Genomic DNA, 17755 nt, shown 5'->3' with positions numbered 1-17755 from the left:
TAAGTGCACTAAAGCAGAAGCATGTTTCTACTGCGACATTAGCCAAAAAAAATTAATAATAATAACAATAAAGGAAAAGAAAATAAAGTTTTCAGATCAATTTCAGAATTAAAAAAAAAAAATTCAAGTTCCTTACCAAGGTCGTACCCACACGTTTTTCCAAGCAAATATCCAACATCTGAGAAAAGTCTCGTTCATCTCTACCCAGTCCACATTCTCCCCGCGTCCCCCGCCAGGCTGAGCCGCACAGACGCGCACCTCGGCGGTCCCTCCTCGCTTCGTCCGGCCGCCCGGGCGCCCGCGTCCCAGCTCCGGGCGGACAGGTGCCGCGGTCGCTGCTCTTGCCTCTCCGCAACACTGGAGGGCCGAGTGTCACGGCAGCACTTTGTCTGTGTTAACCGTCTGGCTTCCCCTCCCTGCTTAAGATTTCCTTAGCCACTCGGCTGCGCGAAGTGGGGGCGTGGCCAACGTGGCCAACACCACCTGGCCGAGCCCAGGGCTTTCCCCCAGATTGCTAGCACAGCCGCCGAGAGCTTCCTCTCTTCGCATGTGTATTTCAACATTGACTTGGAATCTTCTTACTTCCCTTTGAAGGCACTTAACCTCAACGCTTACTTGGGCTCTATTGTATTCTAAACACTCCAGATCGCCCTCCTTCCTGGCGCGGCAGAATTAGGGGGCGCACGTTCCTTAAATTAAGGAAACTTAAAATTTACCTACACAGTTTCTGATTTCTCAGCTCAAATCCCCAGGTACAAAAGACACAAATCTTACTTCAAAAGAGCAAGTTAAATTGTTTTTGCAGCTAGTGTAATACAGTGGAGCTGTCTGGTCCTCAAGCTGTTGTGTATGTAACGCACGTTTCCCCGCCCCCCGCCCCAAAAGTTGTAACATTCCGTTTCTCCTGCTAACGTTCAAACTTGGCAGAACTAACTTTCCTCTTTTAACTATTTAGTAAATAGGGAAATAGGCAAAAGTTATAATTCTACAGATTGTTTGTTTTCCTTTCCTCTCCTCCCAGAACCCACAGGCTGACTTCCCAGGAGTGTAAGTAAAATGTAGAGCATTAGTCGTTTCACAGTTCAGAGGAATATTGAACTGATCACTGCAAGTGGAAAGCGGTCGGAGGCAGTAATTAGTGGGGCTTATTCTGAGCCCCGGCCAGCTTTTCCTCCAGCCCAGTCAGTCCTCTGTTGAAGGAAGGACATCCTGTGATGATGGCATACAATGTCCTGTTTGTTTATTATTAAGAGCGTGGACCTTGCATTCCTGCTTCTCATTACAAAACAAACCAGATGCTTTACTTCCTTCAATGGTCTTGTGCCTTCAGCAAGGAATCCTTTAATTCAGAGAAACAATGTTTATAGCAAACACCCCATTTCAATTATTATTTAGATCATTGAAATCCAGGTCTTCCATTTTTCCTGCTTGCCTTACCATAGGTAGGTTTTTTTAAAATCATTTCTCCTTCGACCTGCAATGTCTTTTCTAACATTTTAAATACACGTGTGCACACACATCCACCCACACACACACCCACATACACACACCCAGTTCCAACCTAATGATACCAACTTAGTCATACAATGAAATGGACATCTGAGTATTTGTTTACAGGAAGAAATGAAACAAAGCAAAACAAAAGCCCAACTCAATCCTAAAAAATATGTCTGTTTATCTTTAAAATTTCTTTTCTCACTTTTAGAAAACTTTTCTAGAATTTTTTTTAGGGGAGAGGGGGAGAGGCAAAAGATTATTTGCCAGGAAATGGTGTCTAAAGTCTTGCTGCAATCTCTCTCTCAGTACAGAACAATTAAATTCCCACTAGGGGACATGATTAGCACACACTCGCTGCTTGCTGCGTGGCCCACCTGTGATTGCATGTTATGCCAGAGGGGACGCTAGCACCAAGAGGAAGCAGGACTTTTAGAAGGCAGATCTGCTGGGGGTGGAAAACTGAATGAACAATTCCTAAGAGTCCTCAGAAAGCTCCAAGCTGATAATTAAACAAGAGAAATCCAGCCTGCTCAAGAGGGTTTATTAACTGATGCTGAGTCAGCACCACAATGGACAGAAAAACAATGTAGTCATACTGAAGGCTGGCCTGCTGTTCAAACAGTCTCACTTGCAGATGTTAAAGAGTATTTCACTTCCCTTTTAGAATCAAACTCTGTTCTTAGGCCACATACACCATCATGCAACTGCTGGTGAGTCAACCATGATAGAGTAAGGGAATAGGCAAAAAGTTTGATATTTGAGGTGGGAAGAAGGCTATTTTAAGCCAAATATTTGCTTTAATGACTGGAAGATGCCAGTGAATCAACTCACTGTTAATTAATATCAGCCTGCACTCACCTTCAGAGGTGGTGAAATGGGCTTGAGTCTAGGGAGGACGCAAACTTCAAATACCAGTGTGGGGCTTAGCCAGGCAACCCTAAAATTAGTTCCAGGTGTCCCAGCTGAGCTGGACAAGGCCACGGGTAGAACTTTAAGGAAAGTAAATTTTCAGACACAGAGTGTTGGAATGTAAAGTCCTTCACATGTTTGCTTCTTGTCTCAAAGTGATTGGGAAAAAAAAAACCTCCAAACCAACTTTTGACTATGATTATAGTAGTCAATGATGGATATCATCATTTAAAATGAAAGCTACCAAAAAGGAAGAAGAAATAAAAGAAAGGAAGCTTGCTCCATAATAGGAAAAAACATGTCCATATTGTAATATTTAGGTATTGTCCAGCACAAAACCATTAAGGGGGAATAAAAGGGACTGACCTCTGAACTTCACTCGGTCCTCCCAGAGGGCCTGAGCAGTGCACCTTTTTACTGCTGACTAAAGCTGGGAGACCCTGGCAGCAGTACAGCTGTGCAGAGAGAGCTATCAGAGGCTGCCACTGTCTGGAATCTTATGTCTCAAAGGGTTTGTTTCTAAGTAATAACTTGGTGCATTTTTAGTCACTATATTATTTCCCCCCAAGTTAGAACACCGAAAAGAACCTCAGTTATCTTTATTAATCAGCATTTCTCAGGCAGAGCTCTCACATTAAAAGTGTTCACAATGGCAGCAAATCATGAATGAGCCAAATAGTTCTGTTCTCAGAAATTCTCATCTATTCCCGTGGATGGCATCATCACAACAGTTCCATCAGCCAATTTTAATTCGGTTTCAGCTACTGGGCCAGTTTTTTTCCTCTCCCAGTTCCTGGGTGGATTGGGAATTGCAATGTTGGTGGCCAGATGACTCTATAGGGAAAGGACTATTGTAGAATGAAGGGAAATTGAGCACCAAATCTGGAGACCTGAACTCCACTTGGGGAAAAAAAATTTTTTTTTTCGAAAGGAACTTTTTTTTCCTAAGGTAAAAAAAAGGGATGAAATGTACCCAAGATGAAACATGTTTTCATTTTCTCATTCAACTCCTGCCATACCCAAACAAGGTCAATGACAGGCTAACCACATCAAGAGAATAACCCCCCCACCCTCTTCTTCCTACTCCCTACCACCCACCCACCCTCACCCCCCACACCCATTTCCCGCTTCCTGTAAGTTAGGCATCTTCATGCTGGTAAACATTTGGGGACCAACTGTAAGCCTGAGCCTGAGAGAGGGGCACTGAGGCTTTGAAGCCCTCCCACATGTCTCAAAGCCAGGCTGAGAACTAGAGGGACACTTGGTTTTTAAACTTTAACAGCCTTTTCAACTCAAATCACTGGGCTTGGCCTTCTGGCTGCCTTCCTTTTTAAAAGCCGGACAAGAAGAGCGAGTATGTGTGTATGAGTGAGAGAGAATATATGTATGACACATGCTATGTTACAATGCAGCCTGTGTGTGTCATTGGTGTGATATGTGTACGATATGTTTCGATGATGAGTTGAATCAATTTAAAAATAGCACAAGCTTCCTTCTCATGACACAGCTCACCTCCCAAAAACTTTTGACAAACATATTCAGGGCCTAAACATTGGGACGGTGACCTTCAGGGGCTGTTGGATGTTTTGGAATGAGGTCAGTGTTTTGACTTCCTACATAAGGGAAACAAAAATTAAGTAAATTCAAGAACACAAGTAGAGCTCCCTTCCCACCCTAGGAATGAAGATGTAAGTGTTCTCCAGAGGACTTTATAAAACCCACAGGATGTCCAAGGTCTCAGAGTATTTATAGAACCACCTGTATCATTACATCTAAGTATTAATATCTTTTTTAGCCCTCCCTTCAGAAAGACAGTTGTATTCTCATCTAATCATTTATATATGATTTTAAAATTATTTTTTAAACTATTCCTTTAGTTCAGCATCTACCAACTTAATAAATGATAATAGCAATACTAATCATTTCCAGATGACTTGTGGGGAAACCAAGGTTTGGGGTTTCCAAAATTTGCTTTCCCTTCTAATTATATTTTTATCATAGTGAATATTCAGACAGAAGAATTTTAATTTCTGAGAAGTCTGTGGGAAAGAACAGGAGAAGGAAGATTATTTCAGAACTCAGAAGACACTTCCTAACCTTACAGCTGGTGGGAAAAAAGGAATAATCCTAAAATTAAACTAACAGAAGGCAAAACCTGAACTGTTAACAAGGGAGAAAAAGAGCAATAGGAAAGGTGTCCACTCTGAAACTCATCTCTTGTCTTTATTTGGAGAACCGGAAGAGTAGCTTCCACACAAATGAGAGAGCAAGACTGTGGGTCAAATGTTTGCTTCTCTCACCTTTCAGTGGGAGGAGAAGCCATTCTGGAAGAGGGGAGGACTCAAGGTGGAAATAAAGGGAAGGTCGCCAAGAATAAGATTAGGGAGGACCAGTTGGCTTAAAAATGAAGGTGAAAGGCTTCTATGGAGGATGAGCAGGAACAGCAGCAGAAGACCCAGTGCAGGGAGGAGCAGTCCCCTTGGAAGAGGAAAAGGGACCCTACAGTTGTACCTGCCACCGTGTGCTTCCCTGAAATCACAGAATATTAACCAAAGGACACAGGTGATTTTATTTAAAATGGGACTGACGATTTCTTCTCATCCTTTCTAAGGGAAGAACAAGACTGTAGAGGCTTGACTTTCTTCACGCCAAGGTAAGTTAGGATAGAAGAGACAGAATCATAAAGGTTAATAGTGAAATCATTTGACCACCCCCAGCCCCCAACTCCCATTCTGCTCCAAAGGGGATTTAGTATCCAATCTAAGTCGAAGACCATATATCCCCTTCTACACTTCATTTTCCTGCTGAGGAAACTGAGGACCAGAGGTCAGGAAGCAGAAAGGGCATCTCTCCCAGACTCTTTTTTGGTAACTGGATCTTAACATAGAACTGTGAACCTGGGAAATGCCAGCCCACAGGCAGGGCTGCAGCTCAGGGAGCAAAATCAGAACTTGGTTCTCAGATTTCCAGCCAAGCTCAGGGTTCTGTAATGGATCCTAAGCACTTACTGGACCTAAGGTACACATGGACTTAAAAATGAGGAGGAGGGGGCTGCGCTTATTGGAGAACCTTTTAAATGTTAAACCGGTGGTGACACCAGAAGAAGTTCAACCCGCCTAAACCAAATTCGTGTCTGAGTTTGGAAGAAGGCATGACTGTCCTTCACCTCCACCCACCTGAGAGGTGGAGAGGGGAGGGAGGAAAGAGAAGGCAAAGGCAAGACAATAACAAACCTCATTTAATAGACACCTTATCTTTTGAACAACTCTCTAATGTTGACTAAGGAAAAGCTGGGAAACCTTTTAACCTGAAGATAGCCTGGAGATCCAGAAGCCATCAGCCCTGGCTTATCTGTTCTCCATCTACAGCCCATTGTTTCCTTCAAGCAGGCACCCCGGGGAAGCAGGGCAAAGGAGTTATTGTTCAGTAGGCATCCGCCCCCTTAAGGTGCACCTCTGGAGGACTGAAGGGCAACCCTGCTTTACCCTAGAATGGGACCAAACACAGGGAAGGAGCGGTTTGGTGCTTTTCAGGCAGGATCCCCACAACTCCTTTGAAGAGAACAGGCACTGCCTTTAGGAGAGATAATCCCACAATGGATGTCCATTAAAAGTATTAGGATGTGTACTGCCACCATGATCCCTGGGAGGAGAGCTCTGTCCTGACAATAGACAATTAAAGCTGATAAATCCAAGCTACTTGTTGCTGTTCTAATTCCTTCTAATTGTATGCTACTTGTGCCTGGCTCTCGCATTCAGGGATGAAGCAAGCTAATCTCCAAAGTACCTGACCTACTTCCTACAGGATCTTTTCAGCATTCTTTTCTTCCCATCTGGACCTTTTCTCCTCTTCTCCTTCTCCTTTCTTCCTCATAGATTGAGGGGAGGAGAAGGAAGGATGCTGGGGGCTGCGGTGGGGGGCGTGGAACAGAAGGCTGAGTCCAAATCAATGACTCTGGGGCCTCAGACAGTTCACTAATCGGTTAACAGCTAATCATGCTCACGGGCACATCAGTGATTAAACTGCACTTTGCATTAGGCTCAACAAGTGGCACGAGGCACACTTAGGATCCAACTGCTAGATCACTGCTAGCTGCCAAATCTGCATGTGCTTATGTGTGGGGAGTGCATGCCTCACTGATTCATTTGTAGCTGACATCTCACTAATTACGCTGCCACCACCAGCTAGGCAGAGTAAAGCCTTCATTCTCACCCAACACCCCAAAGGATGTAATTCTATCTAAACAACAGAGCTTTAAATGCCAATTTGGCGCCTACCTGCATGTGCTCTCCTTCCAGAATCTCCTAGAATCCAAGAAAGGAGCAAAATCATCTTTGCAATTCAATCTTGGCCCCTGGGTGTGTTTTTAATGCTGAAAAATCTTTATAGAGCTATCTCTTCCCACTCTTCCCTGCTCAATAGCCTAAAGAGTGGTTAATAACCTGTCCTTTTAAAATACAATACTGGAATTAACAATTCCAACCATCATGAATCACGTGTTGGGTTTTTTTTGTTGTTTGTTTGTTTTGAGAAAGAGTTTTGCTCTGTCACCCAGGCTAGAGTGCAATGGCATGATCTTGGCTGGCTGCAACCTTCACCTCCTGGCTTCAAGCAATTCTTGTGCCTCAGCCTCCAGAGTAGCTGGGATTAAAGGCACGTGCCACCACACTTGGCTAATTTTTGTATTTTTAGTAGAGACAGGGTTTTACCATGTTGGCCACGCTGGTCTTGAACCCCTGGCCTCAAGTGATCTGCCTGCCTCAGCTTCCCAAAGTGCTGGGATTACAGGTGTGAGCCACTGCACCCTGCTGTGTTGATTTTCTTTTAAAATAAATCTTTGTGTTACAGAAATACAAGATACAATATTCATCAATGAAATTATATGCTTTTTGGCCTTTGCCTCAAAATCATTGGGTGGGGTTGGGATAGATGAAACAACCCAGGTCTTAAGTTGGTAATTGTTGAACTGGGTACTGGGTGCATTATACCATTCTCTTCAGTTATTTTTTTTTCCCTCACTGATCCTTGTTTTAACAGTTTTTTTAAATGTTAAAAATAATAGACCAGGCGCGGTGGCTCACCCCTGTAATCCCAGCACTTTGGGAGGCCAAGGTGGGTGGATCACCTGAAGTCAGGAGTTTGAGACCAGCCTGGCCAACATGGTGAAACCCCGTCTCTACTAAAAATACAAAAATTAGCCAGGCCCACGTGGTGGCGGGCACCTGTAGTCCCAGCTACTCGGGAGGCTGAGACACGAGAATCGCTTGAACCCGAGAGGCAGAGGTTGCAGTAAGCTGAGATCGCGCCACTGCACTCCAGCCTGGGCGACAGAGTAAGACTCTGTCTGAAAATAATAATAATAATAATGATAATAATAATAATTTTTTTAAAATAAAACTTTAAATTCCAGAGACCCCAAATGATCTACTCAAGGCCCTCACGCTGTTTTATTTTTTATTTTATTTCTTTTCTGAGACAGGGCCTCCCTCTGTCACACAAGCTGGAGTGCAGTGGCACAATCATGGCTCACCGTAGCCTCCCAGGTTCAGATGATCCTCCTGAGTAGCTAGGACTAGAGGCACCCACTACCACACCCAGCTAATTTTTGTATTTTTTGATAGAGACAGGGTTTCGCCATGTTGCCCAGGCTGGTCTTAAATTCTTGGGCTCAAGCGATCTGCCTGCCTCGGCCTGCCACAGTGTTGGGATTACAGGCGTGAGCCACTGCGCCCAGCCATGCTGTTTAACTTAAGTTTATTCCCTTTGCATGAATATAAATGAATGTTAAATTCAAAAGCACTGATATAACACAAAGAAGGCATCTGGCTGCTATCCTGCTCCATCAAAAGCAGCAGTCTCTGCGATTGCAGTCATTTTGGGGGACATGTTTTTTCAGTGTTCCCCAAATGTAAGGCACTTTCAGGGTGTCAAAGATATGACAGCAGTCACCCTTTAATTTTGCCCTTCTGAGGAAATTCTAAACTGGGTCTCATTTTATTCCATTTTACAGAGATCCCACCAGGAGAAGATTAAGAGCTTATTTTGGACTGAAAATTTATGTCTTCCAGGAGGTAAAACTTGCAGCCATCTGAATCTGTTCCTGCGCGATGCACCCTCCTCTAGACAGAGGGACTAGAAATACAAATTTACCGTACTCACTTTTTCTCTACAGTAGTCTGAGCAAGCCTCTGGCAGCACCCAGCAGGGACTCAGCTGATAAATGGTGTCAAACACAAACCATTTGTCAACTCCCAAGAGAGGAGAACAAGCTGAAAGATGGACGCAGGAAGTAGATTTATCTGGAGCAACACATTAACTAGTATAAATACCAGTGAAAAAAGTAAACACATTTACCGAGCAAGAAAGATCTCATCACAGTTACCTCACTGCTTAACTCAATGTTCTCCCAAAGCCTTCTCCTCCTCAGACAAGGGACACCCATTTGTCTTGATGTTCTGTGCAGAAGATATTTAAACAAATCAAAGATTTATTTCCTTATTGACCTCTGTTTCATTAACAACTAGTTTACATTAATAGAAGAAGGTTCTGCCAGACAAAGAAAAGGTTTCTCCAGTGATGATATTCCCCCATTCTTTAGAAGACAGAAGGTTTTCCAAAATGCCATTAGGAATGAAAACACAGCATGTGAAATTATCCTTCAAACTGTTATGTATATTAAACATTCATTCATATGACTTCAGACATTCGTGGAAACATTTTTAATTTCAGAAGTCCCAAAAAGCAAAGATACAGCCAAGAAGTCCACATGCAGTCCTGGTTTATTGAAGTACATGTATTGCTACAGAGTTGCTGGGTGATGGTGACAGTGCTAGGCATGGCCCCAGACACCTGGCTTCCAGTTCAGGCAGTGTCTATGGAAAACAGGGAGCCTTGGGCTCCATTTCCTCATGTATACCACTTTTTTGCTCATGCTCTAACTGTGATTCATCCTCCTGGACAATGATCTGTCTCTGTGGTCTTCTACCTACCAGGCTATACATAATCATCGGTATCTGAAAACCCAGCCCTTAGCACAGTGCCTGGTGGTGTGATCGATGGTTGATTAATGTGTGCCGAATGAATCAATTAAAATGGTTCTCAGCTCCCATCTGTGAAGGGAGCACTGTAGTGGGCTCTGAATGTACTTTCTGTTTTTCTAGAGAAAATAAGACTGCTGCTCAGCCTTTGTTTATGGGACTTCAAAAAACATGTTCCAGGGCAGGAGCCACAGACATTAAGATGTTCATGTTTATGGGAATGGGAAGAACTTACCTCTGACAACAGCATTTGAAAATAAGTTCATCCACTAAAAACAAATGTAATAGATTTTCCAAGTGAAAGTGACTTACACAGTTCTTGTGGGGTCTGCTTTTGTCCACTCAGCCATCTGCACTCCTGGCACTGGACTTCTTCCTAAAATTTTCTCCTGCCAGTCTTAGGGCCTTCCTCCCTTTCACGGAAAGCCACTCCACCCACAGTAATTAGGTTTAACTAGAGCAATTAACAAAACAAACTCCTTGTTGCTTAGTGGGCTGATACAATTCTGATTGCAAAATTGTTTTAGGATGTGCAGAGTAGTTTAAAACAAAGATAAATAAGTTATGCAACCATTTTGCATATAATCCATTTGTTTGTGTGTAGGAAACAGTTGTACATCTTAAGTAATATAGTCTAAAATTGCATTTTACTAAGCAGTATGCCTTCCTCATATAATATTAATTCAGATCTAATAAATTTAAACTGGGATTATTTTTTCTAGTGCTACATAGTTTTAAATTATTCAGAGAAAAATGCTTCATTTTTTTCTACTAATAAAGTAACAGCTTACATGTTTTTTAAAAGACTGATGTAACATAATCAACACCATCCAATTCCCCAAAAGCCTTCTCCACAAAATACTACGATTTCAAATCTAGTTTTTACAGGCACTATCACTCTAAATTCTTTCTGTATACAAAATTTAGTACAATTCCATTATTTTGCTGATTCTTCAATATTAGTGCCACCTAAGACTTCAATCATGTATTTAGAGTTTTACATACTTTAATTTGATTTTACCAGGCTGGGTGCAGTGGTTCACGCCTGTAATGCCAGCACTTTGGGATGTCGCACTTTGGGAGGCAAAGGTGGGAGGATCCCTTGAGTCCAGGAGTTTGAGACCAGCCTGGGCAACATGGCAAAACCCCATCTCTACAAAAATATAAAAATTAGCCAAGTGTAGTGGCGCATACCTGTAGTCCCAGCTACTCGGGAGGCTGAGGTTGGAGGATGGCTTGAGCATGGGAAGTGGAGGTTACAGTGAGCAGAGATCGTGCCACTGCACTCCAGGCTGGGCAACAGAGCCAGACTCTGTCTCAAAAAAAAAAAAAATTTTTTTTTTTAATTTTCCCTGTAGTGATTTTTATTATGGTCTTATACCAACTTCCTTGATTTTGGAATAAGAGTATGGTGATGAAAAATAATCTTACTAGCTGTGCGCAGTGTCGCATGCCTGTAGTACCAGCTACTCTGGAGACTGAGGCAGGAGGATCACTTGAGCCCAGGAATTCAAGACCAGCCTGAGGAACATAGCAAGACCCCAGCTCTTAAAAAAGAAGAGAAAGAAAAAGAAGCTTGCTGCAACTTTACCTGAAAAGGGAAAGTCTACACTCTATTAAAAGTATAGTTTTCTTTCAACTAGAAATCCTAATAAGCATCTGATGGTGATAGATTCTCACTATGTGAAAAAATGAGGGTGATCCTACAGGAAAACAAACACAATAGCCCCTGAGGGCCAGGGAAGAGATGATCAGAACCAAGGACATTTTATGGTTAATACAAGGCTATGTAAAGCTTTTTGAAAATGTCTTGCATTTCTCAAGAAGCTACTGTTGCTGCATATTAATGTTCTTATTCTGAATGCCATAGATCACCAGAATAAAAATACAATTGTCTCAAAATATATAGAATTAGTTAAGAATCAGAACTAAAACCATGGCTAAAATATTACTTCAGCTCCCAGAAATCTAATTTAATATAGGAAAATGAGGATTTTTGAAAATTGTTTGTTTTGGAAATGAAGCCACTGAAAATAATAGACTGTCCTTACTTTAAATACGGCTCAATTCATAAAAACACAGTCTTAGAGAAAATTTCAAAATATAAGGTATGCTGATATATTAAGAAATATTGATAACACAAATCAAGTTGTGTTATGATAATAAAAAAAAATTCCCCCCTAATTTGGTCAATAATCAACATGGTTGATGCTTTCTTATCCAATGCAATTGGGACCAATAGTTTTTAAACTATACAAACAGTTAAGTTAGAGCTTCTTTAAAATGATGACTATTAACCTTAAACATTATACAGTATTGGAAACAATATGTCAACTCTCCCATCTTTGATGCAGGACCAAGGCCTCGGATCACTGCAATCTCTGCCTCCCAGGTTCAAGCGATTCTCATGCCTCAGCCTCTTGAGTAGCTGGGAACACAGGCGCGTGCCACTATGCCTGGCTAATTTTGTATTTTTAGTAGAGATGGGGTTTCGCCACGTTGACCAGGCTGGTCTTGAACTCCTGGCCTCAAGCGATCCGCCCGCCTTGGCCTCCCAAAGTGCTGGGATCACAGATGTGAGCCAAGGCACCAGGCCTCTCCGATATTTATATCCCCCCTCGTCCCCCAACCCAATATTCTATAGTTGTTTCATCTATTTCAATTACAGGATTTTTCAGCCAGTATTTACCAAGCCTCTCCAAAGAGTTCTACTTGGTTTTAATGGAAACAACTCTTAATACTTATATGTCATTGATTTATATAATATTTAATTAAGTTACGTAATTATAACTAGCATTATCTAGTTTGGGAACAAATACAAACAACCCTTGGGGAGCATGCAAATCAGAAAATGCAATGATCAAACATACATGAGTAATGTATTTTAAAATTATTATACAACATGCTGTGAGGAACTGGCAACTTGAGTGGGAAGTCCACAAGTGTTTGGTACGTGGGAAATTACAATCCCTAGAGACTGGATTTCTTAATTTCATAAAGGAAGAAATTGACTCTCAGGGAAAGTAATTTTCTTTTGGTCACTCAGTTATGCGTATAGGCCTACAACATTTCATCTGCAATAACAAAATCCAAAAAGCTCTGGAAATGGAATGTTGTTTCACTTTTTATTCTCACTACCATAGATCAATTTTAACCACTAAGATGCTATAGTGGCCTTGTAATTACCTTCTCCATTTTCAGTTTTACTCCTTTGCAATTTTCATCAGCACCACTGCCACCAGAATTATCACTCTGAATTACAGCCTTCCCATGGTCCTTCCCTCCCCCCAAATTTTGCATGGCTCCCACGGATGCTGACCAGAGGCTGTCTGTAGTCTTTGTCTCCACTCATGTGGATCATGTTTTCTACTGCAGAAACCCTAACATTTGAATAAGAACACCTCACTGAGGGTATATGCTTCAATATCACCTCTCTAACATTTGAAAAATTCTGAATCCAAAGTCACATCTGGCCTCTAAGGAATGCAGATGAGGATGTGGGACCTGCATTTGTGTCAATACTATAGCCAGGCCTCCCTCCTCATGGGTCACTGGGCCTGGGATTCCATGTACAGTGACTGATCATGATTCCAACAAATATACTTCTTGAAATCACTTACTAAGTTGTGATCTTTTCTCTTTTCACATAAATTTTAAAAATCACAAATAACATTTAAATAATAAAATACTTAGCCACACATTACCTAGGCAAAGCAATAAATAAAAATAAGAGTTCCTTAACGCTGTCCAGCTGACCAGAGAACATAGACAGTAAATGGCTTAATCATTATTCAGAACATTTTTTAAATTGAAGAAATAATATGATATATGATGATACAGTATTGCCCTTAATACCTAATCAAAAGGAAATTGAGGCCGGGTGCTGTGGCTCATGTCTGTAATCCCAGCACTTTGGGAGGCCAAGGTGAGTGGATCACCTGAGGTCAGGAGTTGGAAATCAGCCTAGCCAACATAGTGAAACCTTGTCTCTACCAGAAATACAAAAATTAGCTGGGCATGAGAGTGGGCGCCTGTAATCCCAGCTACTCGGGAGGCCGAGGCAGAAGAATCGCTTGAACCCAGGAGGTGGAGGTTGCAGTGGGCCGAGATTGCGCCATTGCACTCCAGCCTGGGCGACAGAGTGAGACTCTGTCTCAAAAACAAACAAAAAAAAAAAAAAAAAGAAAAGAGGAAATTGAGAGATACTCTGGGTTTAGAGTGATATATATGCACACAGGCAAACAAATTTATTTGTCACCAGGATTTGGACATTTGTCTCCTGTTAATTGCCACATGGTGAAGAGCAGAGCCGGCAGCCACTTCTCATCCCTTCTACTACTCCCTTGTAACATCATTACTTCCCCTTCCTCAGCCCACCAGAGTCAAATCTGTACACAACATAGGCTACGTCTTCCAGGGAAGCTCAAAGGCCTACTGGCGTAAGGTTCCCTTCAAAGCACCCCTGGAAGCTGTGTGGGATGAGGAGTATTGAAACCATCCTCTTTCCAGAGAACAGCTCAATCCACCACGTCATGTTTCTGTTCTCATTTACCCGGGGCTCATGATGTAGATGGTTAGAAGGTTGCCCTGCAGCTCCCCAACACAAGGGGCACCGCAGACAGCAGGAGAAGCCACACACACATCCGGGCAGAGCCCCCCAAAGTGATGCTGAAATCCAGCTATCCGGGTCTTGAGTTTTATTAGGACTGGGTTATAGAGAAAAGACTGTGGGACTAACTGTGGGAAGGAAGAGGGAATTGTTCTCTCTATATATATTCTTCCCTTCTTCTATTCCTCCCCCTTCTATAACAGAAAATAGAAGAGTTGTGCTTGGGGAATATGAGATACTTTAGTCTCAGGTGAGGCACACCCAATTGCATGCTGCACTTCAGTGGAGAGAGGACAGGGAAGGTCACGATTCCCAGAGCTACCTCATTTGCGATCTGGAATTCTGCTTAAGACCTACATATTACACCCCAAAATAGCCCTAAAAAACAATGTCCAGATTCAATTAGTTGTTGCTGTCTTTTAGAATGTGAATTTTTTCCTTACTTCTCTTCTCTTTTCCTGCCCCCAGTGAAACAGCTAAGAAGTATGAAGGACATCTTTTCCTCACCATAGGCGAAGAAGATAAATGTCTATGAGTTGGTGTAAACACAACTGCAAAAGCCCAGCCAAGGGCATCAGAAAATGGAACACATTGATAGTAGGTCATTAAAATATGCCCCATAAAATCTTTCAGTAGTCCCCAAACTTTGCTGCACAGTAGAATACCCTGGGAAACTTTAAAATATCCTGATGTCCAAGTTGCATCTCAAATCAATTAATGAACCTTGAGAATGCTGGGGTGGGAGCCAGGCACCAGTATTTTTCAAAGTTCCTCAAGTGGTTCCAATGTGCTGTCAAGTTTGGGAACCACTGCCTTACTTAATCAGATGCCAACCTTTTAGATGATATCTACACTTAAAACACTTCCTTAACTCTCACCCACCCTCCCTTCCAAGCAAAGAAAATATACTGTGGTTGTGGAACATTCCCAGGAATGGCATCTGAATATATGGCTTGGACTGATACCACATAACAGACAATCCACCTCTGAGATTAACAAAGAACTGGGATAATGAGGCCAAGGACCTGAGTTCTGTACTCAGAGGGGTCACTTAGGCTGGCTTGGGTCTGTGGCCACACAAATTGTGCCCCTAATTCCAGTTATGAGTGAATACTGTGGCTTGGAAAGGAGACCACCAGCAAGTGTATGGATGGGTACAGCAATGCAATATCCAGTACCAGAAAATCAATGCAAAATCGATGGGAAGTGGATCAGCATTGTTATCTTCCTGTATTAATTTTTATTGGAGATACCTGTATGTATGTATGTATGTGTGTGTGTGTGTATATATATATATACACACGTGACTTACATATACATACATACATATATAACATATACATATAATTCTCCTCATTCTCTGAATTAGAACATGAATGGGTGGCATAATAAGATGCATTCTTTTTTTTGAGCCAGTCTCACTCTGTCCCCCTGGCTGGAGTACAGTGGTGTGATCTTGGCTCACTGCAACCTCCCCTTCTCAGGTTCAAGCAATTCTCCTGCCTCAGCCCCCACAAGTAGCTGGGATTACAGGTGCCCACCACCACGCCTGGCTAATTTTTTGTATTTTTAGTAGAGACAGGGTTTCACCATGTTGGCCAGGCTGGTCTTGAACTCCTGACCTCAAATGATCCATCTGCCTTGGCCTCCGAAAGTGCTGCTATTACAGGCATGAGCTACTGCATCAGGCCAATAAGATGCATTCTTAATGTAGATGGTTCAAACATGTCATTACAAATCATGGTTGTTCAAAGAAACATGGTTGTTCAAATCTGGAAGATTGCCTTCAGAATAAATATTTGAAAGTAGCAAAGCCAATCTTTGGGGTATGGCATGATGCCTAGCACACAGTCAGAGCCCAATATGTTTGTCAAATGCACAAAAGATAGAAGCACTATGCCATAGGGTTACTATTCAAATATTAACAATATTACCAATATTTACACAGAGGAAAATATAAAGAGATGGAAAGTCTTGAAATTTTAGGTTAAATTTAAATGTCTAAATATTTACAAACTATACTTTGTTGGTATAACTTTTCTGAAAAGAAATTTACCTATATATACCAAGAGCCTTAGAGATTTATAACCTTTGACCAAATGATTATACTTATAGAAATATATCCACAGGGAAATAATTTGAGCAAAGTTATATAAGCATATTAGTTACAATGTTATGTACAATTATGACACACTAGAAACAACCTGAATATTCAAATTTACAGAAATTATTAAATAGATTGTGGTAAGGCAAATATAATATAAGTATTATTCAGGCATTTAAAAAGTTTAAAATGTGATATGAAAGAATGCTTGAGGTAAGTCCCTGGATTAAAAAAGCAGATACAAAAGTGTACCATAATTTCATTTGTATTCTTGCAATGACTAAAAATGTGCTACCATTTATGGAAAAGAAAAACATCTAAAACAATTAGAAGGGGGTATCTGAAATGTTGATTCCAAATTCTATTCCTCTAATTAGTCTTAATGAAGTCAGCAGTTTTGTCATAAATTTCAATTAACTATAATCCCCATCTGACACAAACCCACTAGTCCATATGTTAGGTCTCTCATTTGACCAAATGTAACAGCCTTTGAAGATTGATTTAGCTAAAAAACATGCAACAGACACAAATGACAGCCACTGAGGAAATCTGAAAAGATAACCACCAAAAAAAAATTGAGGGAGAAGTGGTGGATGCGGAGAGGGAAGAATTGCATTAAATCTATTTCCCAATTTTCTCCTTCCTTCTAGCATCAGTTAACACAGTCACAGGCCACAAATAATGTAGAGACCTTTTTTTAAGGTGAAAAATGCACACACAGGGTGTTGGAGACCAACTCCTCATTTCCCATTCTCCTCACCGAAGCAACCTCTTCCACTAAAGTCAGGCAACCAGTTTACAGTGGAGCACACGAGAGTGCATTTTTTATCCAGCAGAAATATTTAGCTTGGCTGACTGCCAGGGAATGCTGGAAGAACAGACTGTATTAGGGGATTTACCTTCCACGTGTTTGGCACGTGTCATTTGGAGTATCTGAGAAGCTCGTCCCTCTTTCTCCACGGTATCTGAGCAGTGGAGAGGGCTGCCAAACCATAGAAGAGTGAGGCGATGCCGTCATCTAAATCTTCAAATCCAGCACCTTTCTCAGATTCCAGTTTGCTTTCTCTCCATGATTGTTACAACTATAAAAGGACATTCCAGGTATCTATTGCTGTTGAAAGGAAAAAGCCCATATATCTTCCCTAAGTGCTAAAGATGCTTTCATTTATTAACACTTAACGCCACTTTGGAGTTGCATGAGTCTACAAACAATTTTGATAACTTTGATTTTTTTTTTTAAAGCTCTGTGTCATCAGGCAGTTTTAGCATCTTCGTTTATGGCTTTATCAAGAACTGCTATTTTATTTATTTTAAACCTAGACATTATTGGGAGTCATATATAATCAAGTTACAAAATTTGTTCTCAACTGTATGTGTTTTAAGTTTTTGTAATTGATTGGACCCTGTGCTAAGCTACTAAACACTTTGTAAACTCTAGATGCCAGAAGGGTCCCTATAGAAGCCCTTTATTTTACAGGAGAGGCAAAGTGACCATCCAAAGGCAATGGCTAGTGGTAGTCAAGCTGATGGCCAATCCGAAGTCTATCCCCACAACCTGGTGTGCTTTCTGCAACCCCACACCACTAGATAGACCATCAG

The 17755-nt window shown here is 41.6% G+C and overlaps 1 protein-coding gene across 4 annotated transcripts in view, besides 3 other annotated features; it reads right to left on the bottom strand.

Annotated features, from left to right (window-relative positions):
* PRDM1 (PR/SET domain 1) overlaps window positions 1-17755 on the bottom strand; it is a 117249-nt gene that overhangs the window by 23207 nt on the left and 76287 nt on the right. For 2 of the 4 annotated variants that reach the window (NM_001198.4, XM_047419247.1), the window contains exon 1: window positions 137-396. The exons of the other annotated variants lie outside the window; for them this stretch is intronic. In NM_001198.4, coding sequence (NP_001189.2) covers window positions 137-178 — 42 coding nt within the window. In that variant the 5' untranslated portion in view covers window positions 179-396. Of the gene's footprint in view, window positions 1-136; window positions 397-17755 lie in introns of those variants that run through there. 4 annotated transcript variants of the gene reach the window in all.
* Window positions 49-768: an enhancer, noted in NCBI's record as "NANOG-H3K27ac hESC enhancer chr6:106533839-106534558 (GRCh37/hg19 assembly coordinates)". NCBI's record gives its function as "activates a minimal SCP1, AML or CMV promoter by ChIP-STARR-seq in primed H9 embryonic stem cells {active_cell/tissue: H9 hESC(primed)}" and the evidence as "EXISTENCE:reporter gene assay evidence [ECO:0000049][PMID:30033119]".
* Window positions 1946-2015: an enhancer, noted in NCBI's record as "active region_24877". NCBI's record gives its function as "activates an Ori minimal core promoter by ATAC-STARR-seq in GM12878 lymphoblastoid cells {active_cell/tissue: GM12878}" and the evidence as "EXISTENCE:reporter gene assay evidence [ECO:0000049][PMID:35858748]".
* Window positions 5656-6202: an enhancer, noted in NCBI's record as "NANOG hESC enhancer chr6:106528405-106528951 (GRCh37/hg19 assembly coordinates)". NCBI's record gives its function as "activates a minimal SCP1, AML or CMV promoter by ChIP-STARR-seq in primed H9 embryonic stem cells {active_cell/tissue: H9 hESC(primed)}" and the evidence as "EXISTENCE:reporter gene assay evidence [ECO:0000049][PMID:30033119]".

Source organism: Homo sapiens, chromosome 6, assembly GCF_000001405.40.
Source record: "Homo sapiens chromosome 6, GRCh38.p14 Primary Assembly".
Taxonomy (NCBI): domain Eukaryota; kingdom Metazoa; phylum Chordata; class Mammalia; order Primates; family Hominidae; genus Homo; species Homo sapiens.
The sequence above is the reverse complement of the archived record's forward strand: the minus strand, read 5'-3'. Positions and strand labels throughout refer to the sequence as shown.